The following is a 24,711-nucleotide window of genomic DNA, read 5'->3' as shown; positions in this document are numbered from 1 at the left end:
GAGCCACCGCGCCCGGCCCCAAAGTACTCTTTAGAGATGACCCATTAATTTGAGTTTGGAATATTATACTTTGTCAAGGCATGGGAATGTACGCGTCTATTTTCATGCCGAGTGTTGGCCCCATTTTCATGTTTTGTATCTTTCAGTTTTGCATTTTACAGGGTTCAGAACACATCATTTAAGTCACTTGTTTATCCATTTTTGTTGTGGTTGTTGATTTTCTGGTTGTGACTCTGGTTATTGAAATTAATGAGAACTAGTCTTTGGGAAGATGGATTAAAGTCATTTGGAGAATGCCAGTTCTATATTATGTTATCACTGCTTTCTCTTCTGTAATGAATACAAGCTAACAAGAGAAGACATGGCTTAGAGTTTTTTTTATAATGCTAAGGAATAGTTGTGTTAGAGAGCTTTGCAAATGCCAACTGAAGTACACTGTTTTTTTTTTTTTTTTCCTTAAGCCCCTTCTATGAGATAATAGAATTTCACAATAATTCACAGGTATCTGCATCAGGACCTCTTTAGAGTGCTGTTGACAAAATGTGGTAGTCTTTTTTTATTTTCCATTTTGAAATTGCATCATGAATTTCTTAGAGGTAATTTTAAATACAGCTCCTGTATAGTAATGTCAGAATGGGTAAATTCATAACATCCTGATATGGAATTTTTGGCTTCCCTGTTTGTTTTGACTGCTTAAATAATTATAGCTAATTTTAAATGTTTGTTACTTAAGAGATTTTAGTTGAAACAAAATATTGCTGTATTGGTATGATTCCATTTATAGAAACTAAATCTGAATCATAATTTTACACTTGGAAACTCATTCCGCTTTTGCTTTTACAATTTTTATAATTAATGTTCTCAATTAATATAGACGTCTGCATAACACTACCTAAAAGTTTTGGCGCATTTTACCAACTAGATATTATCCCTAGATATAAAGAGTTTGTAGTTCTACATGGAGGACAAAAACACATGTCATAGTAATGTAAATAAATTAAAATACATAAGATAATTATATAACTAATGACAATCTTAAACTCGTAAAATGTCAGAGGATGAGTATCTATTCCAATTGATAATAAGGCCACAATTTTTTTTTTAAAAAGAGCAGGGATGAAAATCTTTTCATTAAGTGAAAGATTCAGGAAATGATAGAGAATATCATTGGGGATATTTTGACCAAAGCCAGTGGGAAGGTCGATGAATGTTCAGTGGCCGTGAGCAAAACATCACAACCAGAGTAAAGGCAAAGGAAAATGTTAAATGTCCTGAACATTTATTGGTATCCTCCAACATGTCTTCCTTACTAGTTGATGCCTACACCCTGTAATCAGAGTGTTATTCCTTTACCTGAAGGTTTTGATACATTCTTAAACACCTCAGGCATCTACTCAGAGTTTCAAGGGATTTGTGCCCAAAGGCAAGATGATGCAATTCTCTCTTTTACTTGGTTTAAGGATTATGCTTTGGCTGAATGAATGGCCAAGAAGGGCAACAATTTCACTTTAGCCAAATAGAAGGAGAAGCCTTCCTCATTCTCAAGTACATTAATTCAGGTATCTTTTATGGTTTGTTTTTTTACATGACTTACTATTTTGCCTCCTGCTATTTCAACCTTCTCTTTAAAATGTTTCTAATTGTCCTTGAATGTGAGAAGAAGGTTTCAGGCCAAATACATTTATTAGAACATCCCAACATCCCTCATGCAAAGGAATGGGTCATTGCCCTTTTGCTGGAGGAAGTCCTCTGTGGTCTTGGTTGCCTAGTGGCTTCCCCTGGGTAGTCTAGTGATGCTTAGTCTCCATAGCTTTCTGCTGAGAGTCAAATGTTAGTTGGTCTTTAATTCAATGGCACAATATGACAAATCTAATAAAGGTACTTTTCACAAATGTGGGTAAATTAGATTATTCCCACAGAACATGATGAACTCTTCTGGAGCCCAGCTAATCCTCATTCTGCTGTCTACATTGACAATTAGTTCTGGAGGGAGAAAGAGAGGCTGTGTAGACAAAACACCAACATTTATCCTTTTAGGTTGTAATCACTTACAGCACTTTTGAAAATAGCTTGATTTTCCCACACATTTTACACATTTGGAAACTGGATGGTTGATTTTTGGAAGAAGATGGGTAGAGAATCAAGAGAGTGATTATTAAATATCCTCATCTTAAAAGGAGAAAATGGCTAGCAGGAGAGCCAGCAGTCAAAGGGTGAGAAAGCGTATTTGGAGGAATTGAGGATGGCCCCAGCAGACTCGTCTAAAAGGCTTGTCTAAGACTTCTCTAAGCAAACTGCAGCACCAAACCTGGGAATCATCCTTGACGTCGCCGGCACCCACCCTGGTTCTTTCAGCAAAATCTGTAGACATTTCATCAAAACATAACCAGAACATGACAACTGCTCACCACCTCCACTGCATAACTCCAGCCCAAGTCATCGTCGTCTTCTGGATGCAAAAGCTTGCTAACTGGTCTTTTTGCTTCTACCTTACCCTCCTACAATCTTTTCTTTAAGTAGAAACGAGGATGAGCCTGTTAATACTCAAGTCAAATGGTATCAGGCCTCTACACAGACACTCCAGTGGCTTCCCAAGTCAATGAAAAGAGGAGGCAAGTTTGTATGATCTTCTTCCCTCCCACCCCATCCTTGCCCGGTGCGTCATGAATGCATCTCCCAGCTTCTTCCTCTTGCTCACTCTGCTCCAGCTATTACAGTCTACTGGCCATGTCTCATACATGCCAGGCAAGGCACCACTTATTGATCCTGCTTGCAGACTACTTTTCTCCCAGATATCTGTGTTTCCTCTTTTATATTCTTTAGGTCTTTGCTCAAAGGTCGTCTTCATAATGAGGCTTTTTCCCTGGCACACTGTAACAATGCCTTCCCTCTTATCACCATCAGACTTAATATATGTTGACACATCTATCTATATGTATGTGTGTATATGTAGTCAGTGTGTACGTATAGTATTTGTGATGTACAGAGTCGGTTTCCTCCCTGAAGAACGAGCTCCATGGACACAGACTCTCTGTGTTTTGTTCACTGCTGTGCCCCAGTATCATGTATGGTACATGGCGCATAAAAGACACTTAATAAATATTTATTGAGTCTAGATATGGTAGCTCACACCTGTAATCCCAGAATTTTGGGAGATTGAGGCAGGAGGATCACTTGAAGTTCAGAGTTCAAGGATAGCCTGGGCAACAGAGTGAGATTCTATCTCTAAAGATAAATAAATAAATAATAAAAGTAAATAAATACATATTTATTGAATAGATCAATGAATAACTTATTTTTTAACTTTAATATGATTTCCTCTGGGAAAGAAAATGTGCAAACTCTCTTTTTCCATGATTTCCTGAAAGTTCAGAGTAAACTGTATTTCATTCTGTAGAAAAAGCATACATTTTAAACATGGATTTTTGAAGGGCATTAAGTTGGTGCTAAGGAAGAAAGAATTTAACAAAAACGAGAGCATGGTAAGACAGGAGCCAGTGGCAGAGATCCTGTGTGTCTCTGGGGAAGAGACTGATGGTGAAAATAGAACTGGCCACTAAAATTAACTACCTAAGGGCTCCCTGGGTGACCATCAGCAAAGACTTCAGCTCTGAGGAACAGGAGGACAGAGACAGCTCTGACTGCAACCTAAATCCAACACTGTCTGAAGAACCACCAAGTCTGTTGGGTTTTCTTCCTGACCATTTCTATATCCTCCACTGTTCTCACAGCTACTTCCCATTGTCCACAGGACTTCTTACCCAGATTCTAGCCACCACGTTTCTCAGAGTTCAACCTTGCCACTTTCTCTACACCATGAATGTAGAACTCTTTCTAAAAGGTGAATGTGATCATGTTATATTCTTCCTTAAAACTCTTTGCTAGCTTTCCTCATTTAATCTGAGAGAATGAAGTTCGAGTTCTTAATACACGTCGAGAGTTTCCAACGTCATGGCTCACCATTCCTCCAGCTTTTAACTCTCTATAGCTGTGCTACATTGTCTCCAACTGCTGGGTCTCTATGAACTTCCATCCCTCTGCAGCGTCAAATCCTACCCCTCTGTTCATCTTCCATAGTGCAGTTGGATGAGAAGCCTCCCCTGATACCTGCTTCATTGGGCTAGATGTCTTCGTAAGAGTCCTGTAGCATCCTGCATTACGATACAGATTGCACATATTCATAGTATTATAATCACACTTTTTAGTCTTTTACTTATCAGTCTTTCCTCTAGACTGTAAGTTTTTTATTTTTTGTGTGTATTGTTTGACTTGTTTTTAGTTGACAAATAAAACTGTATATTTTTATAGTGTACATCACGCTGTTTTGAAATATGTATACATTGTGGAATGGTTAAATCAAGCTAATTAATATCTGCATCACCTCGTGTACTTATATTTGTGGTGAGAACTTCTTAAAATATTTTGAAATTTTCAAGAATATAATACATAGTTATCAACTATAGTTACCATATTGGACAATAGATTTCTTGAATTTATTTTTTCTATTGAATTGAAATTTTGTGTCCTTTGACCAAAATCTTCTGAGCCCCCACCCCGTACCCCTGGAAACCACTATTATTATGCTCTCAACCTCTGTGGCTTTTATTTTTTAAGATTCCCCATAGGAATGAGGACATGCAGTATTTGTTTTTCTAAACCTCACTTATTTCACTTACTATAAATGTCTTCCAGGTTCATCCATGTTGTTGCAAACACAAGATTTCCTTCGTTTTTAAGGCTTAATAATACTCCATTGTATATATATACCACATTTAAAAAATCCATTCATTTGTTCATGGGTACTTAGGTAGATTTCATATTTTGGCTATTGTGAACAATGCTGCAGTAAACATGGAAGAGCAGAAATCTCTTTGACATAGTGATTTAATTTCCTTTGGATACAGACCCAGTAGTGGGATTGCTGGGTCATGTGATAGTTCTATTTTTAATTTTTTGAGGAACCTCCATATTGTCTTCCATAAAAGCTGTATTCATTTACATTCCTTCCAACACAGTGGAAGAGTTTTCTGTTTTCTACATCCTTGCCAACATTTGTTATCTTTCATCTTTTTGATCACCAAAATAACAGGTGTGTGGTGATATCTCATTGTGATTTTAGTTTGCATTTTCCTGATAATTAGTGATGCCGAACATTTTTCATATACCTGTTAGCCATGTGTATCTCCTTTTGAGAGATAACTATTCATATCCTTTACCTGTTTTTAAGAATTTCATTCTTTTGTTACTACTGAGGTATATGAGTTCCTTGTGTATCTTAGATATTAACCCCTTATCAAATGCATTTACATATATCTTCTCCCATTTCACAGACTGTCTCTTCACTCTGTTGATTGTTCCCTTACTGTGCAGAAGCTTTTTAGTTTGATATAATCCCATTTGTCTTCTTTTGTTTTTGTTGCCTGTGCTTTTGGCTTTATATCCAAAATGTTATTGCCCGGAGCAATGTCACAGAGCTTTTTTTCTATGTTTTCTTCTAGTGGTTTATAACTTGTGTCATACATTCAAATGTTTAAGATTTATTAGGTTAAGTCTTCCATTTTGAGCCAATTTTTGTATATGGCATGAGATAAGCATATAATTTTATCCTTCTGCATGTGGATATCCAGTTGTTCCAACACTATGTATGAAAATACTGTTCATTCCCCATTGTGTGTTATTGACATCTTTGTCCTCAATTGACTATAAATATGTGGTTTTATTTCTATGCTCTATATTCTGTTCCATTGATGTATGTGTCTGTTCTATTACTCTATGTGATAGTACTTTGCTGTTTTAATCACTATAGCTCTGTGGTATGCTTTGAAGTCAGGTAATGTGATGGCTCCAGCTTTGTTCCTTTTGCTCAATATTTCTTTGGTTATTCAGGGTTCTTTTGTGGTTCCATAAAAAAAACTTAAGATTTTTTTTGGATATTTCTGTGAAAAATGTCATTTTGATAGAGATTGCTTTGGAAAGTATGGACATTTTAACAATATTAATTTTTCCAATCCATGTTCATGGATTTATTTGTGTCTTCAATTTATTTGTGTCTTCCATTTATTTGTGTCTTCAATTTTTTTCATCAATGTTTTACAGTTTTTCAGTGTACAAATATTTAACCTCCTTGGTTAAATTTTTTCCCCAAAACAGTTGTGTGTTGCTTAACAATGGGGATATGTTCTGAGAAATGTGTCATTACACAATTTCATCTTTGTACAAACATCACAGAGAATACTTACAGAAGCCTAGATGGTATAGCCTACCATACACCTTCGCTATGTGGCATAGCCTATTGCTTCTAGGCCACAAACCTGTACAACATATGCCTGTACTGAATACTGTGGGCAATTGTAACACAGTGTTAAGTGATTGTGTATCTAAACATATCTAATCATAGAAAAGGTACATTAAAATATGGTATAAAAGATTAAAAAGTGATACACCTGCCTAGGGCACTTACCATGAACGGGGCTTGCAAGACTGGAAGTTGTTCTGGGTAAGTCAGTGAGTGGTGAGTGGATGTGAAGGCCTAGGACATACTACTGTAGACTTCATAATCACTGTACACATAGGTTGCACTATATTTATTAAAAATAAATATTTTTCTTTAATAACGAATTAACCTTATCTTACTATAACTTTTTTACTTCATAAAATTTTTGTTATTTTTAAATTTTTGACTCTTCTGTAATAACACTTAGCTTAGACCACAAACGCATTGCACAGCTCTATAAAAATATTTTTCCTTATATTCTTATTCTGTAAGGTTTTTTCTAGAATTTATTCATTTACTTTTTTTACTTTTTAAATGTTTTTGTTAAGAACTAAGATGGAAACATATTAGCCTAGGCATATACAGGGTCAGGATCTTCAATATCACTGTGTTCCACTTCCACATCTTGTCCCACTGGAAAGTTTTCGGGAGCAATCACACGCATGGAACTGTCATCTCCTATGATAACAATGCCTTCTTCTGGAAGACCTCCTGAAGGACTCCCCTGAGGCTGTTTTACAGTTAACTTGTCTATTATAGTTAGGAGTACACTCTAAAATAATGATAAAATGTATAGTAAATCCACAAGCCAGTTGGATAAATAGTAAATCCATAAGCCAAATAACAGTTGTTTTTATAATTATCAACTATTATGTGCTGTACATAATTGCATGTGTTACATATTTTAGATGACTGGCAGCACAGTAGGTTTTTTTACACCAGAATCACCACAAACACATGAGAAATGCATTGTGCTAAGATGATAGGAATTTTTCAGCTTGATTATAATCTTATAGGGCCACTGTCTTGTATGTTTTCTGTCATTAACCAAATTCATTGTGCAGCAGGTAATTGTATTTTAAGTTTTTTGTAGCTATTGTAAGCAGAATTGCTTTCTTGATTTCTTTTTCTGATAGTTCATAGTTAGCATATAGAAATTCTACTGATTTTTGAATGTTGATTTTGTACTTTGCAATTATACCAAATTATTAGTTCCAACAGTTTTCTGGTGAAGTCTTCAGAGTTTTTAATGTTTAAGAATGTATCATCTGCAAACAGGGCTGATTTAATTTTTTCATCTCTGTCTTGGATGCCTTTTATTTCTTTCCCTTGCCTAATTGCTCTGCCTAGGACTTCCAGTACTTTGTTGAATAGAACTGAGAAGAGTGGGCATCATTGTCTTGTTCCTGATCTCAGAAGAAAAGCTTTCAACTTTTCCCTGCTGAGGATAATGTTAGCTGTGAGCTTGCCATATACAGCCTTTTTTGTTTTGAGACATTCTCTCTATATCTAATTTATTAAGAATTGTTATCATAAGAGAATGTTGAATTTTTTCAAGTACTTTTTCAGCATCTGTTGAGATGATCATACGGTTTTTATCCTTCATTCCACTAATATGGTGGATCATGTTTTTATGTTGAACTATGTTCACATCCCTAGGATAAATTGCACTTAATCATGGTGAATAATCTTTTTAATGTGCTGTGGAATTTGGTTTGGTGATATTTTGTTGAGGATTTTTGCATCTGTGTTCATCAGGGATATTGGCCTGTAACTTTCTTTTCTTGTAGTGTCGTTTTCTAGCTTTTATATCAGGGTAATGTTGGCCTCATAAAATGTTTAGAAGTATTCCCTTTACTTCAATATTTTGTGAAGATGTAAACTAAATCTATCTTGTTTACAGTTGTGTTTCCAGTGTCTAACATGACACCTGCCACATTAGGAATTCAAAACTTGTTTAATGAATAGTTGTATTTTTCCAGGTGTCAATATCTGAGAGTCATGGTTCAGAAGAATGCTCGCCAGGTAGGGAGTTGGGTGAAAGAATACGATATTTTTCCCCCAGGAACAAATGTGTAAACCTGGAGCTCATAAAGAATAGCCCTGCTGGGCGTGGTGGCTCATGCCTATAATCCTAGCACTTTGGAGGCCAATGAAGGAGGATGATTTGAGTCCAGAAGTTTGAGACCAGCCTGGGCAACATAGTGAGACCCCATCTCTACAAAAAAAATTTTTTAAAATTGCCAGGTATGGTGGTGCACACTTGTAGTCCCACCTACTTGGAGGCTGAGGTGTTAGGAATGCTCAAGCCCAGGAGGTTGAAGCTGCAGTGAGCATGAATACACCACTGTACTCCACACCAGCCTGGGTGACACAGCAAGATCCTGTCTCAAAAAGACAAGATAGCTCTTCCTTCTTTTATGAAACTGTCTCAGACCTTGTTGGGAAGGGCAGAGAGAGAGGGAGCGAATGAGAATAATATGCCTGGTATTGAGAATGATACAACTATTATTTCCCTGTTGGAAAAAGCTGTCATCAAGATCTTTCCTTAGCTCCAGGGAATCCCCCATCTCCCTCAGATCAAGGCCTTGGTCTTTGTTTTTCCATTAATTTTTACACAGTTCAACTATAAATACAGAGTTTTAAACATGTTAATGCAAGTATAATCATAGGCCTTTGATATAAAAATTACATGACAGAGAGATCTTCCATTTGATTGTTATTGCTTTTTCCCAGTTAGCATGAAAGATTTAGTCAACTAATGAAAGGTTTAAGGAATGAATGAGTCACTGATTTTATATGTTTTGAAAAATTTCCTTGCAATGAAGTTGGCAATAATGTCTTTCTATATAGCTTCAAAAGGGGAAATATGTTTTATTGGATAAATTTAACTTTCTTGGCACAGGATCCCAATTATACATAAATGTTGGGCTTTATTAGCTGGCACCACTGGAACAGAACAAATCTTGTGATTATTATAATCCATCATCAAAGGTGCTCCTAAATTCCACAGGAAGCATATGGTGAAGGCTGTGGCCTGCTGCCTGCTGCATGTTGGAATAGGCGTGCATGGGGAGGGACAGACTCAGAAACCACTGCAACAATGTGCTGCCCATCATCTTTTATTACAATTTATTTAATTTTTGTTTATTTATTAATTTTTTTGAGATGGAGCTTTGCTCTGTCACCCAGACTGGAGTGCAGTGGCATGATCTCAGCTCATTGCAACCCCTGCCTCCTGGGTTCAAATGATTCTCCTGCCTCAGCCTGCTGAGTAGCTGGGTCTACAGGTATGTGCCACCACACCCGGCTAATTTTTGTGTATGTGTGTATTTTTATTAGAGATGGGGTTTCACCATGTTGGCCAGGCTGGTCTTGAACTGTTAACCTCAAGTGATCTGCCAGCCTCTGGCTAGGTGGAGGCAACAGATACGGTAAGAAGTAAGATATATTTTCAGCATTTGCATTTCAGTGCCTTTAGGTGGGGCATGAACTCTTCAGTTTGCCACAAATATCACCACTTTCTATTGCCATTCTTCGCCCAATTTACACATTTATATTACTAGCCCTCCTCCAGTAAGACATTTGATTTTGAGACCTCAATTTACAACTCTTATTTCTCTATTTCCTAACTTCTTTGTTTTTCTTTTTCTATCATTTGAGTGAGGCTTCAGGTAATTTTTACAAAAGCGTAAATGAATAATATGCTGCCAGTCCTTTCTTATGTAAAATAGTCTTTCTGTTTTCCTCACACATTAAAGCAACTTGGCTGTGGGAAGATTAATGAGTTGTAAAAGTTTTCCTTAAAATTCAGTGTATAACACTCCCTTATCCTGTATTACTTAGTTGACAGTGTTGGTAGAATTTTGGGAAGGGCTATCATTAAATTTGTTAAGAACTTGTAGGGCCCTGTATTAAATGATTTCTATTAGTTAAATATTTCTTTCTTTGGGCTATTAATTGCTACTTTTGTTCTTGATGATTCCTTATGAATCCCATAATTCTGAGAGTGATACTTTGCCCTCCATCCTTTATTTATTTATTTATGTATCCTTTTCTGCTTTATTGTTTACGAATCAATTTTTATTGATTTTAAATAACTTCTGGGAAAGATTCTAAAGATTGTTCTGTAAATCAATGACCCAATTTTCCCCAAGAGTTAATGCTACTTTTTGCTATCTCCAATGAGAATGGCAATTTTGTGTCCTGAAATTCCATCTTCTCTCCCCCTTCTATCTCTGCCTCTTATAATGCCTTTATACATTGCCTTTTCCTGCTTTGTGATTTTCTGTTCTTCTTTCACAAATACCGTATTTACTTGCATCCTTATGTAAGGCTTTATCACAGCAGTGAGCTCTGCCTCTCAATTTTCATGATTTCCCTCCTTATTTTGCGGTGGTATAAATAGAGTCCTTGCTATTTATATTTTCCATTTACTTTTTTATATGCTGGGGGTTGGAGGGGAACGGCTGTTCTAGCCCTGATAGTTTTGCCAATAGTAAGTCTGTTCGTGAGAGTGTAATTCCCACCACTCCCACAGCAGATTGCGTCTATTACAATTTTTCAGGACTAAAATTGGACTTCCTCCTATTCCGATTGCCCAGATCTCTATATAGTTACATCTTGAATGATGAAAAACAGAAACAACTGCCACTATATCATTACTCAGTAGGTATCTCCTATGGAGAAATGAAGAGTAGAGAAAGATAGGATGTGTCTGTATCTAGTTGTCTACCATCAATGGAAAAAGAAGTGATGCAGAAAAGAAGTAAACGGATCACTTTCTATTACATCCGGAAAAACTGCTCATACAAATGGACCCAAGAAAGACAGTGATAAATCTCAGTTTACTGTTGCTTTTGAAGGAAAGATTTTTGCTCTGTTATTTAATCTTAATGTGATGATTATAAAAAATACCAAGAGGGAGGAAAAGTAAAACAAATAGTAAACAGGGGGAGAACAGTATAAAGCAAATTGGAGGCAAATTGATGACTGTCATCAATCTAAAATTGAGTATCCTCCAGAAGATAGCTGAAGCATCAGATCATCAAGCGAAACTTCCCTGTGACACATTTTACTGTGATTTATATGTATAATGAAAAAATGGCTTCGGTAGTTTTTCCTTTGCTTATCCACAAAGACATGATGTTTAAATCTGCCCTGCAATCTGGATCTGGTTCTCTCTGCCTTGTCGTGCTGTTACTTTTCCACCCACGATGTGCACACACTTGCTTCTAAGGGTAGCAGATAACCCTTGTTTGGTTATTTGTTAAACATCTTTTTCTCCTTCTGTGATGTTTACCTATGATTTAGAGAGAAAGTACTTTGGCTGATTTTGTTGCTGGTGTAAACTATGACTTATTTCACTGCTAAAGTTATAGGATGGCAGCCTGTTCCCTCAGATGAGCTTAGAAAACCTTTCAGTGATGTTTTTATGTGTGTGTGTGTGTGTGTGTGTGTTTTGTTTTGTTTTGTTTTCTAGCAAACAAGATTGCAGTCCTTAGAGAACCAGTTACCAACTGGACTTAACCTTTGTTGTAGTTTCGGCTTCATGGCATTATTCATGAAAATAGGATATGAAAATAGGTCTTTGTACTACAGTCTACAGAGGAAAAATTTAAATCCTGTTTTAAAAAACATGCCTTATTTAACACAAATATACCACATTTGTCTTATTTTCCATGAAAACTCACTGGTTTAGTTCAATTCCTTTGTCAAAATATTGCTGTTAGAATTTAAATGTGTACATATACATATTTTCTTCATTCATCTGATGATGGACACTTAGGTTGCTTTCAAATCTTGGGTATTGTGAACAGTACTGCAATAATCATAGAAATGAAGGTATCTCTTTGATATACTGTTTTGCTTTCTTTTGGGTATATGCCTATCAGTGGGATTACTGGATCATATGGGATTTCTATTTTTAGTTTTTTGAGGAACCTCCAAACTGTTCTCTACAGTGGTTGTTGTAATTCACATTCCCACCAACAGTGTACAAGGGTACCCTTTTCTCCACATCTTTGGTGGCATTTGTTATTGTCTGTCTTTTGGATATTAGTCATTTTAACTAGAGTGAGATGATATCTCATTGTAGTTTTGATTTGCATTTCTCTGATCAATGAATGATATTGACCACCTTTACATATACCTGTTTGTCATTTGTATGTCTTATTTTGAGAAATGTCTATTCTGATATTTTGCCCATTTTGTAATCAGATTATTCAAATTTTTCTTATTGAGTTGTTTGAGCTCCTTATATCTTCTGGTTAATCCTTTGTAAGATGGATCATTTGCAAATATTTTCTCCTATTCTGTGGGTTGTCTCTTCACTTTGTTGATTGTTTCCATTACTGTGTAGAAGCATTTTAATTTGATGTGATCCTATTTGTTCATTTTTGTTCTGGTTACCTGTGCTTTTAAGGTATTGCTCAAGAAATCTTTGTGCAGGTGAATGTCCTGGAGAATTTCCCCAATGTTTTCTTTTAGTAGTTTCAGGGCCTGAGGTCAGGAGTTCCACCCGCCAGGTGATCCACCCACCTCAGCCTCCCAAAGTGCTGGGATTATAGGCGTGAGCCGTTGTGTCTGGAATTGGTGGGTTCTTGGTCTCACTGACTTCAAGAATGAAGCCGCAGACCCTCGCAGTGAGTGTTACAGCTCTTAAGGTGGCGCGTCTGGAGTTTGTTCCTTCTGATGTTCAGATGTGTTCGGAGTTTCTTCCTTCTGGTGGGTTCGTGGTCTCGCTGGCTCAGGAGTGAAGCTGCAGACCTTTGTGGTCAGTGTTACAGCTCTTAAGGCAGAGCATCTGGAGTTGTTCGTTCCTCCCGGTGGGCTTGTGGTCTCGCTGGGCTCAGGAGTGAAGCTGCAGATCTTCCTGGTGAGCGTTACAGCTCATAAAAGCAGCGTGGACCCAAAGAGTGAGCAGTAGCAAGATTTATTGCAAAGAGCGAAAGAACAAAGCTTTCACAGTGTGGAAGGGGACCCGAGCGGGTTGCCAATGCTGGCTCGGGCAGCCTCCTTTTATTCTCTTATCTGGCCCCACCCACATCCTGCTGATTGGTAGAGCCGAGTGGCCTTTTTTGACAGGGCGCTGATTGGTGCGTTTACAATCCCTGAGCTAGATACAAAGGTTCTCCATGTCCCCAACAGATTAGTTAGATACAGAGTTTTGACACACAGGTTCTCCAAGGCCCCACCAGAGCAGCTAGATACAGAGTGTCAATTGGCGCACTCACAAACCTTGAGCTAAACACAGGGTGCTGATTGGTGTGTTTACGAACCTTGAGCTAGATACAAAGTGCCGATTGGTGTATTTACAATCCCTGAGCTAGACATAAAGGTTCTCGGAGGCCCCACCAGAGCAGCTAGATACAGAGTGTCGATTGGTGCACTACAAACCTTGAGCTAAACACAGGGTGCTGATTGGTGTGTTTACAATCCCGAGCTAGACATAAAGACTCTCCACGTCCCCACCAGATCAGGAGCCCAGCTGGCTTCACCTAGTGGATCCTGCACTGGGGCTGCAGGTGGAGCTGCCTGCCAGCCCACGCCCTGTGCTCGCACTCCTCAGCCCTTGGGTGGTTGATGGGACTGGGCACCTTGGAGCAGGGGGGTGGTGCTCGTCGGGGAGGCTCGGGCCGCACAGGAGCCCATGGAGTGGGTGGGAGGCTCAGGCATGGCAGGCTGCAGGTCCCGAGCCCTGCCCCGCGGGAAGGCAGCTAAGGCCCGGCGAGAAATCGAGCACAGCGCCGGTGGGCTGGCACTGCTGGGGGACCCAGTACACCCTCTGCAGCCGCTGGCCCGGGTGCCAAGTCGCTCACTGCCCGGGGCTGGCAGGGCCGGCCGTCTGCTCCGAGTGCAGGCCCGCCAAGCCCATGCCCACCCGGAACTCCAGCTGGCCCGCAAGCACTGTACGCAGCCCTGGTTCCCGCTCGCGCCTCTCCCTCCACACCTACCTGCAAGCTGAGGAAGACGACTCTGGCCTTGGCCAGCCCAGAAAGGGGCTCCCACAGTGCAGCGGTGGGCTGAAGGGCTCCTCAAGTGCCGCCAAAGTGGGAGCCCAGGCAGAGGAGGCGCCGAGAGCGAGCGAGGGCTGTGAGGACTGCCAGCACGCTGTCACCTCTCACCATCGTGCCCAGCCTGGTTTGCTCTTGCTTTTCTTCTTTAAGATACTTCATTAGATTGTTTATGAGATTGTTTATTTCAGATGTTTTCTTATTGCTTGTTAATGTCATTTTCTTTTGGATTGAAGAACTACCTTTAGCATTTCTTATAGGACAGGTCTGAGATTGATGAAATCCCTCAGCTTTTGTTTGTCTGCAAAGTCTTTATTTTTCCTTCATGTTCAGAGGATATTTTCTCTAGATATACTATTCTAGGGTAACATTTTTTTCCTTCAGCACTTTAAACGTCATGCCACTCTCCTGTCCTGTAAGGTTTCCACTGAGAAGTCTGCTGCCAGACGTATTGGAGTGCTATTGTATGTTATGTGTTTATTTTTTTCTTTTGCTGCATTGGGATTCTTTCTTTGTCTTTGACCTTTGGGAGTTTGATTATTAAATGTGTTAAGGTAGTCTTATTTGGGTTAAATCTGTTTGGTATTCTATAACCTTCTTGTACTTGAGTATTGATAACTTTTTCTAGGTTTGAGATGTTCTCTGTAACTATCCTTTTAAATAAACTCTCCACCCTAATCTCTCTCTCTCTCTGTCTCTCCTCTTTAAGGCCAGTAAGTACTAGATTTGCCTTTTTGAGGTTTTTGTAGATCTAGTAGGCATGCTTTATTCCTTTGTATTCTTTGTTATTTTGTCTCCCCTGACTGTGCATTTTTAAATGGTCAATTTGATTTTCCTTGGGAAGCGTGCTCTTGGGAAGGTCACTGAAGTGCTCTATTTGACTGGCTTGTTTTCACACTAAGTGGATCTTTTTTTTTGTGCAATCACCCAATTAGGAGTTGAGAAAATGGGAAGCTCAATATATTTTTATTGAGCAAAGAAAGCATCTCATTACATCCTATTCATCACTATTATCAATGTTTCTAAATTATTTGCATAATATGAAATAATAAAAAAGTGTTATTTCCATGAGGCAGAATTTTGGTTTTGATTTGTCAAGCTGAGTGGTCACTGTAGCTGAGTGGTCATTTACAAGTGACTTAATTACTTTACCATGCAACTAAATACGCATAGTTATAAAATGAAATAATTGACAATTCCCAAATGGCCTTTTGATGATCCTATCAGTTGAAATAAATCCAAATATCACATATATGTTGCTTGTTTTGTGCGAACTACTGTTCATGAGGATGTGGGGGAAAATGTGACTTCATAAGCCCTGCTATGCTCCAGAAACATAGTTTTAAGAAGTGAGGTGGAGACAAGAGATTTGGTTGGTAAGCAGTAGGAGACATGGTGAGACGGTAATCTAAGGCCTGACTGTGGAAAGCTTTAAATACAATTTTTTACTTTCTGTAAGCCACGGAGAACTGTGCAGCTTTTGAGCAGGCACATTTCATGATTCAAGCATGGGTTGTGAGGATGGGGAGAAACTGGAGAGAGCAGCAGAGGCCTGGAGGTTCATGGACAGCCTAGGTACAAAGGGGGGAGCTCTTGTTTTAAGAGGAGACAGGGATTCTGCAGATGCAAGAGATATTTCAATTGAAGCACAACTAGGATTCAATAATAATTATCACTTAGTTAGAGAAAGACCGTCAGAACTCCTAAGAACAAGGAGAGAGTTGTATGTGAAGAGAAATACTTCCTTGTTAAAACTTTGGAAACACTGTTTGAATGTATCATTTGGAAATTCAGAAGGTTATTGGAGGGAATAAACATTGTGTTATTTATTTGGGTCCAGTAACATATGTAATGGGAGCTTTATAAACATGAATTTAAACAATAAGATACATTTGATGCTGAAAAATCCATGCTTGTCAATGTCCTTACTTTTAATTGTCTTTGGTGAAAAGTATTGTTATTGATAAGGTAATTTAACTGGTTCTTTTATTTTTGAGTGCCTAATTTGTATCCAGTTGAAAATTAAGAACCTGATGCAAATTAGATGTCAGGAAAGCAATAGCTTTTTAATGTGTTCTCTAATCATATGCTACAGTAACAATGATAAAGGACTTCACTTACATAGTAAGGCACTTATTAGATATTGAATTAAGATTCATTTTAAAAATAATATTACCACTATGAATTATCCTCCTATTTTAAATTCTGGGCATTCTACTATAATAATTGGTATGGATTCATGATACGTTAATAACCTCCTGCTTAAAACCAGGATATATTTTAAGCCAAATGTTATTATTAATGTATTACTTAAGTGTATTATTTTGTGCTGACATTCTTAACTAGCTATATGTGAAATATGGTAAAATAGAGCCAAGAGCTACATCCACTATTCAAAATCTACATCACAAAAGTGGATTGGAATATGTTGAAAACTGAACTGTCTAAATATGCTTTTACTAGAATATATATCCATAGGTAATGATTTTTAAAATGATTAATGGTTTATTCATTATGTTATTTGATAACTTGGTAAATTCCTGGTCAAATAAAAATGACTTTTATATTTTATATACATAGTAACTATCCATGTTTGGACAATTACATATTAATAAATATTTACAAATATATAATATACATTAACATATTATACATTTGGACAATTGTCTAGGTTTGGACAGTTATATATTAACTGTCCATGTTTGGTTGAATCTGCAGATGCAGAATCCAGGGATACTGAGGATTGACAGTATTATTAAAAGACTCAATTATACAAATTTACAATGTGTGCTATAGAAAATGCCTTAATTTTAAGGCTACTATATGTATGCTTATATGAGGTGCATCCTATTTTTTGCTCTTTTTTGTATTTTAAAATAAACCATGTTATTTTCTGTTATCTTCCTTATACTTCTGGAATCAATTTTCATAACTCTAGGGATACCAATGTACCAGAAATATCTTGGAGTGTTTTAAACTGTGTCATTGTATACTCAAAGACCCTGTGGACATTGTTGTTGATTGAAATAAGTTATTGGAATTGGAAGAGCCAAGTGTATTGGGCTCCATTTGATTGAGCTCCTAGGAATGTAGCACAGTAGATCGTATATGAATGATTTGCTTTGAGCCACAAGTTGACATTATAAACACTTACAGTAATATATAATCCTGGAAGAAAGCACTATATCCATTATGGTTACTTCTAGAAGTACAGCTTCCTTTCTCCTTGACATGAAATCTATCCAGGCTTAATAGATGATGATGAATGTGGAGGCTGGCTGAAAGACATTAATTATTTCAATAATAATATTATTTGGAACAAAGAACTGGGTTTAAATTTTTGGAATTCTTTAATGGAAACATTTTCATGTGGAAAAGAGAGTGACATTATATTATATATCTGATATTTATGATAATGATTAGCATTCAATTTTCTTTTTAGGATTCATATACAGTCATCTCTCAGTATCTGTGGGGGATTTGTTCCAGGAACTTCTATGAATGCTAAAATCCAGGGATGCTCATGTCCCTCATACAAAATGGCATAGTATTTTCATATAGCCTATGCATATTCTTCAATATACTTTAAATCATCTCTAGATTGCTTACAAAACCTAACACAATATACACACTTTGTAAATTATTGTTATACTTTATTGTTTTTTACTTTTATTATTTTTTAAAGTATCTTCTGTTCATGTTTGGTTGAATCTGCAGATGCAGAACCCAGGAATATTAAGAGCCAACTATATCATTAAAAGACTTACACAAATTTGAATTTCGTGCTATAGAAAATGCCTTTATTTTAAGGCTACCTTTTATTTTCATTTTTATGCTTTTCCCATAAGTATAATATATATTTATATTGTTTTACTTATATTATTTTGTTTTTTCAAATTTCCATTTAATAGGTCAAACAATTTTCTTTTTAAAAACTGTCTTGGAGAAGGACCCCAAGTTGTATTAAACAACTTATGTTTTTTAGTTACGTTTTCAATTACGTTGGTCATCAGCTAGCTCAGTGTACTCTGACTAGGAACCCATCTAAAGGCTATTATGTCTGTCTTTATCTCAAATTAAAGATGTTTGATTTTTATGCCCTACTTCAGCTTTTACTTTGACTTCTGATAAGGCAGTAATTTTTTCTGTGAAGAACTAAAGTACCAGCAGGCATAAAACTGGGACAGAAAATACTGTCCAAGTTTTATGCCTGGTGGTACCTTAGTTCTTTTCTAAGACCCATCTTAAATATCAGTTCTTTCCTAAACCTATCATTCATTTAGCTAACGTAATTCTTCAACATCCTTCGGCCAATCTGGGTGACTGGGTAAATTAAATGTTCCTTGCTCAAATCATTATTTTATTTATTGTCATTCATTTTTAAATGTGTACTTTAAAAAACCTTTTAATTATAGCAAGTATGGTTTACTAATTTTATTTTACTTAAATGGAAATGTCTCAAAAAATTCTTTAAAAACATTATTGCCAGTAAGCTGCATAATAGTTCATCGCATGACATGTCAGCTTCATTGTTGACATAATATATTAAGTGTTTTTTTTAGTTGATTCTCTTGCTTTTAGGGAAATACATAGGCATATTATCTGCAAATTCTGACCAGTTTATCCACCTTTTATAATATTTGAAAATCTTATTCATGTTTTATATGTTATTGCATTACCTGTATCTTCAGATCTGAATAAAACACTAGTCATAAAAGACATTCTTTTTTTCATGATTTTAATGTTATTGGGTTAATGTTTTAGCATTGCGAACTTTTTTTTTTTTGAGACAGAGTCTTATTCTGTTGCCCAGGCTGGAGTGCAATGGCGTGATCTTGGCTCACTGCAACCTCTGCCTCCCAGGTTCAAGCAATTCTCATGCCTCAGCCTCCCAAGTAGCTGAGATTACAGGTGTGCACCACTACGCCTGGCTAATTTTTTGTATTTTGAGTAGACATGAGGTTTTGCCATGTTGCCCAGGCTGGTCTCAAACTCCTGAACTCAGGCAGTCTGCCCATCTTGGCCTCTCACAGTGCTCAGTTTACAGGGGCATTACCAATTTATAACACAACTACTTATATTACAGAACTACCTATTTATATTAGTATGTTTAGATGTTATAAATAGGAATATATCAATATTACTTTCTTGATTTTGACATATTTTGTATCTATGTCCAAAGAGAAATTGGTTTATAGTACCATTTTCTAAATTTTGTCCTACAGTCATTCATTTCACTATGTTATAGAACATTAATAATATTATGTGAATACAAAGCATTTTACAGTAAGGAAGGTTTGGAAGCACTGATCTATATACCCTTGGAGATTCATAACCCTCATTATTTTATTATAGATTCAGAAATTCTATAGTGCAACAGCAACAAATACCTTTAAAAGCAAATTTCCCAAATTCTTCTTAGCAGAGAACATATTTTTACTTCATGCAGATGTTATTTTATAAAAACTGCTTTGATTAAAATTTAGGAAATGCTGTTGGTTTTAAGCAACACCTTGGTCAAATTTTTAGTGAAAATTATAATATTTTTGCATAAAACTAGATAGCTTTCACTTTTTTAGTATTGCTGAACACATTTTTTCTTATCATTGAGAGTATATTCCATAATGGTCTGAAAGAATTCACAACTTAAAGAATAGCCTGGCTATGGAACAGATTGTGTAAGTTGGCATGATATTTTACATTTCTTCTCTTCAGGCATTCTACTGCTTGAATAAATTGGAGAAATTGAAATTTGTTTCAAATGATTCATTTCATTCAAATGTTTACATTTACCTGCTTGTTTATAATTTGAAAATGGCCTCTATATATTCACCAATGGTTTTATTCTTCATTTTGATGTTAGTTTTGTTTTTCATTCTTTTTTAGTCAGTGAAAATTACACTTACAAAAGGGTTTGAGTATGGTGTAGAGAAGTTTTTCAGATCAACTTAGTAACTGTTAGCTTCTGTTTTACTAGTCGTATTTTTGCTGCTATATTTATTAAATATTCTTTTTGGTTAGGCTTATTTTATTTTTTTCTTTTTGTTTTCAATGCCTCATATATTACATTTTAGTCTTTGATTTTTGGCCTTTTTGGAATTTTATTTTGGGTATTTATTATTTGCTAGTAAGTAGAGTTTTCTATTTTAACTCCATCTGAGTATCTTTTCCGGTTGGTAGCCATGTTTAAATCATTTGCATTTATTGGCACAACTCAATTTCTTGGTTATTTATTTATATTTTATGCTTTCTGTGGTTTAATTTTTTATCCATTCTTATTTTTTGCATAGACTTTTTGCTGCTGTTGTTAACTGTTATCCAATTGCCTATTGCTAAATAACAAACTACCATAAACCTTGTGGAGTGAAGCAAATGTTTTTTTCATTGTATCTCATATTTCTGGGTGTTGACTAGGCTCATCTAGGCCTTTCTTGCTTTGGGTATTCATGAGTTTGCAGTCAGACAGTGGTTGTGGCTAGAGAGTTCTCAGATGCCTCTTCATATGTCAGAAAAGTCATGGAGGATGTTACGTGAACAGCAGTGAAGTTTTCAGCCAGAACACCTACATGTGATCTCTCCGTGTGCCCTAGGCTTTTCAACAGCTTAGTGCTTGGTTCCAAGAACAAATGTTTCAAGAGAGAGGCAGGCAGAACTCGACAGTATTGCCTTCTGTGACCAAGCACTGGAGGCCACATGTGTCAGTTCTGCCTTCTATTCATGAGGCAATCACAAAGACTCTCCAGGTTTTAGAAGAGCACGTGGGATGGAAAATGTCGTGGTCATTTTGGGAAATACAGTCTGCCATGATAAGCATTGTTACCAGTGGTTACAAAGACTCATCAGATACATACTTAAATATATAACATTATTTGTCTATAAAAGTGAGTAAAACCCACTATTTTTGTCTTTTTGGAATATTGAAATGGGAGGAGTTTTCCCTTATTCCCCTCTCAGGGCGTGCCATGGGGCTGTGGCTCGTTTCTTCTGTGCCCCACGCGCAAACCTCTGGGAGGAACATGTGGACGGGCAGGTGGCAGGGCTCTGCCCCACGGCGGCATCTAGAGTCCAGTGTTTACAGCTCCCAAAGCCCCAGTGGGCAGGTGTTACAGTGCGCTCTTTCAGTTTTACTGTCTGCAAGTGGTTTGTCTTAATCAGCTCAGTTAGACCTTCTGCCTTAAAGCAAGGACAGAGGGCTTTCTGTATCCTGGGTTCTTGCCCTTGTGTACTGGAAAAATCGGGTCACATAAGGGCTTGGAGAATGAGTGCAAGGTTTTATTGAGTGGTGGAAGTAGCTCTCAGCCGATGGATGTGGAGCCAGCATGGGGATGGAATGGGAAGGTGTTCTTCTCCTGGAGTCCGGCTGCTCAGCTGCCGGGCTCTCCTCCCATGGCCCTTAGCCGAACTCCCCTAGGCGTCCGCATTGTTCCGCCATCAATGACCTGCTGGCCTCTGTTGGTGTGTTCTTCTGCTGGTGTGTTCTTCTTGACATCTGGCTACTTGTGTGCGTGCCCAATAGGGTCTTGGGTTTTTTTAGACACAGAATGGGAGCGTGATGGGCCAGAGTGGTCTTGGAAAATGCAACATTTGGGCACGAAAACAGGGGTGCTTGTCCTCACTTAGGTCCATGGGCACAGGCCCGAGGGTGGAGCCCTCGCCAGGGACCCTGCCCTTATCTACCCAGCACTTCCCTGCTCCCCCAACTCCTGTATCAATATCAAGGATTTTTACTGATTTTTAAATTTCTCCTTTTTTATTTATGTAATTTAAAGTGATAAAAACATTTACCAGTTAAAAAACATTGAGGATAGCTATCAAAAAATGTGAAGCAGTGATATAACTGTGTAAAACGTGTTTAGTTTAGATTTCTTCTTTTTTTGAGACAGAGTCTCGCTCTATTGCCCAGGCTGAAGTGCAGTGGCGCGATCTCGGCTCACTGCAAGCTCTGCCCCCCGGGTTCATGCCATTCTCTGGCCTCAGCCTCCCGCGTGGCTGGGACTACAGGCGCCCGCCACCATGCCCGGCTAATTTTTTTGTATTTTTAGTATAGACGGGGTTTCACTGTGTTAGCCAGGATGGTCTCGATCTCTTGACCTCATGATCCCCCGGCCTCAGCCTCCCAAAGTGCTGGGATTACAGGCGTGAGCCACCACGACCTGCCCAGATTTATTTCTTTACAGGTTGAGTGTCCCTTATCAGAAATGCCTGGGACCAGAAATGTTTAGGATTTGGGATTTTTTTTTTTTTGAATATTTGCATCATATTATACTTACCAGTTGAGCATCTGTGATCCACAAATCCAAAATTCAAAATGCTCCAATCAGCATTTCCTTTGAGCATGACCTTTGAATGTTATGCTGGCACTCAAAAAGTTTGGAATTTTGGAACATTTTGGATTTCAGCTTTTCAAATTAGGAATGCCGGTCTGTATTTAACTGATTTTAGTCCTTGGCAATTTATTCATTCTTTTTAATCTTTTGTTTTGTTTGTTTGTTTGTTTTGTTTCTTTTCTTTCTTTCTTTTCTTTTTTTTTTGTTTTTGTTTTTGTTTTTTTGAGATGGAGTCTCGCTCTGTCACCCAGGCTGGAGTGCAATGGTGCGATCTCGGCTCGCTGCAACCTCCATCTCCCGGGTTCCAGTGATTCTCCTGCCTCAGCCTCCTGAGTAGCTGGGGCTACAGGCGTGCAGAACCACGCCTGGCTAAGTTTTGCATTTTTAGTAGAGACGTGGTTTCACCACGTTGGCCATGCCGGTTTCGAACTTCTGACCTCACGTGATCCACCCGCCTCGGCCTCCCAAAGTGCTGGGATTACAGGCGTGAGTCACTGTGCCCTGCTTTAATCTTTTATTATTCTGGCCTAGCTCATTCATTGAATTATTTAGAAGACTTGCATAGTTCCTGCATTTTCTAAGTCCTTGCCTATTTTTGAGTGCTCTGTGTTGCTTTTTATACAACTATACTCCAAGCTGGCTATTGAGAAAGCATGTGAGCCACAGTGTTTTCCTTTTAGAGACACATACCTTGCCTGCTGGTTGGTGTGGTCACTCATTGTGAGAGTGAGTCCTCTGTCTTTCATTGTGATTGGTGCATTCTAAAGGCCATTGGCTTGCAGGGAGGAAAGAGATGCCACACTTGGTAGTATTGTTCTGAGGACTATTCCCCTATCTTGCTCCAGTTGATGATGTGACAATGTGTCCTTCCACTTGCCTCCTAGACATTCTAGACTTTCAGAGGACATTTCCTTCTTCAATCTCATTCAATCTGCTCTAGGTCTAGAGCACATTCTTTATTGGTTCTGGTATGTGAAGTAGCCTCATCATTATTTTCTAGACCATATACAGCCCCCAGTCTCAATTTGGGAAAACTTGTTATTTCACTGGAGATTTGATGAGATGGAGCTATATACTTGTGACCACATAGTCATCTTTTTTCATAAATCTCTATTTTTTTTTTTTTTAGTTAAGACTGATGAAATTCCTGGTCTGTTGAGCAATTCGATATCATGAGAAATGTTGACTATTTTAGAGTAAAAAGCAGTTAAGAGGTATGGCAACTAGAAACAACATGTGATACCACATTGGATTTGGACTCAGAAAAATAAGCAGTAGGGGAAATTTCAGGGCAAATTTGAGTAAGACTGGTTATTAGATTACATTAAAAAACTCATTAAAATGGAGATATGGACATCTTAACTGAAGAGAAAATTACAAACTAGGTATTGCATTATCTTATTTTGAAAAAATGCATATTAATGTGAGTATTTATTGGGGATGACACACTAAGAGGTAATAGTGATGGGGAGAATATAATTGTTTTATTTTTTACCCTTTATATTTGTCTACTCTCTACAATGCAAATATACAACTTTGTTAATAATAAAATACCAGTTTCATTTTTTAAAATAGGAATTATACACTTCATTAAGTTCATGGGCTAAGGTAAAACCCCTTGATGAAAGTTAAGAAATTACTTTTCCTCAAGAGGGAAGAAGATATGAAGACAAACTTTTGATCCTTACCTGATAAAAAATGAGTTGGATTACTGAGAAAATCAAACTAGATGCCTTCTTTGTGGGAGAATGTGTTTAGATTTTATTTCCGTGTTATTCACTTTCTGTATATGTCAAGGAAGTCCTTAGAAAACAAAGAGATTGTTAATAAAATAATCCTTTTTTCGGTATTTGACTACAATCTCTGCTTATGTCAGTAGCCATCACATCCATATAAGCAGGAGACATGTTGTGGTGGCTGTGGCTGTCACAAAGCCTTAGCTTCTCTGTAGCAATGTTTGATTATAGAGACTCATGTCCTTTGTTACAAGTGCTAATGAAAATAATAAAAGCTTCACAGGTTTCAGGTCCATCTGCCTTGAACATGTTCTTAGCAAATTACATGTTCTGAGCTGGTGGTTGAGACACAACAATAA

The 24,711-nt window shown here is 37.5% G+C and overlaps 1 protein-coding gene across 21 annotated transcripts in view, besides 2 other annotated features; it reads left to right on the top strand.

Moving 5' to 3' along the window:
* FGF14 (fibroblast growth factor 14) overlaps positions 1 to 24,711 on the top strand; it is a 691,640-nt gene that overhangs the window by 319,753 nt on the left and 347,176 nt on the right. The gene's annotated exons all lie outside the window — the stretch shown is intronic.
* Positions 13,405 to 13,904: an enhancer, noted in NCBI's record as "H3K27ac hESC enhancer chr13:102721137-102721636 (GRCh37/hg19 assembly coordinates)". NCBI's record gives its function as "activates a minimal SCP1, AML or CMV promoter by ChIP-STARR-seq in primed H9 embryonic stem cells {active_cell/tissue: H9 hESC(primed)}" and the evidence as "EXISTENCE:reporter gene assay evidence [ECO:0000049][PMID:30033119]".
* Positions 13,905 to 14,406: an enhancer, noted in NCBI's record as "H3K27ac hESC enhancer chr13:102720635-102721136 (GRCh37/hg19 assembly coordinates)". NCBI's record gives its function as "activates a minimal SCP1, AML or CMV promoter by ChIP-STARR-seq in primed H9 embryonic stem cells {active_cell/tissue: H9 hESC(primed)}" and the evidence as "EXISTENCE:reporter gene assay evidence [ECO:0000049][PMID:30033119]".

This window comes from Homo sapiens, chromosome 13, assembly GCF_000001405.40.
Source record: "Homo sapiens chromosome 13, GRCh38.p14 Primary Assembly".
Lineage (NCBI taxonomy): Eukaryota > Metazoa > Chordata > Mammalia > Primates > Hominidae > Homo > Homo sapiens.
Note: the sequence above shows the minus strand (reverse complement) of the source record. Positions and strands in the feature narration are given on the sequence as shown.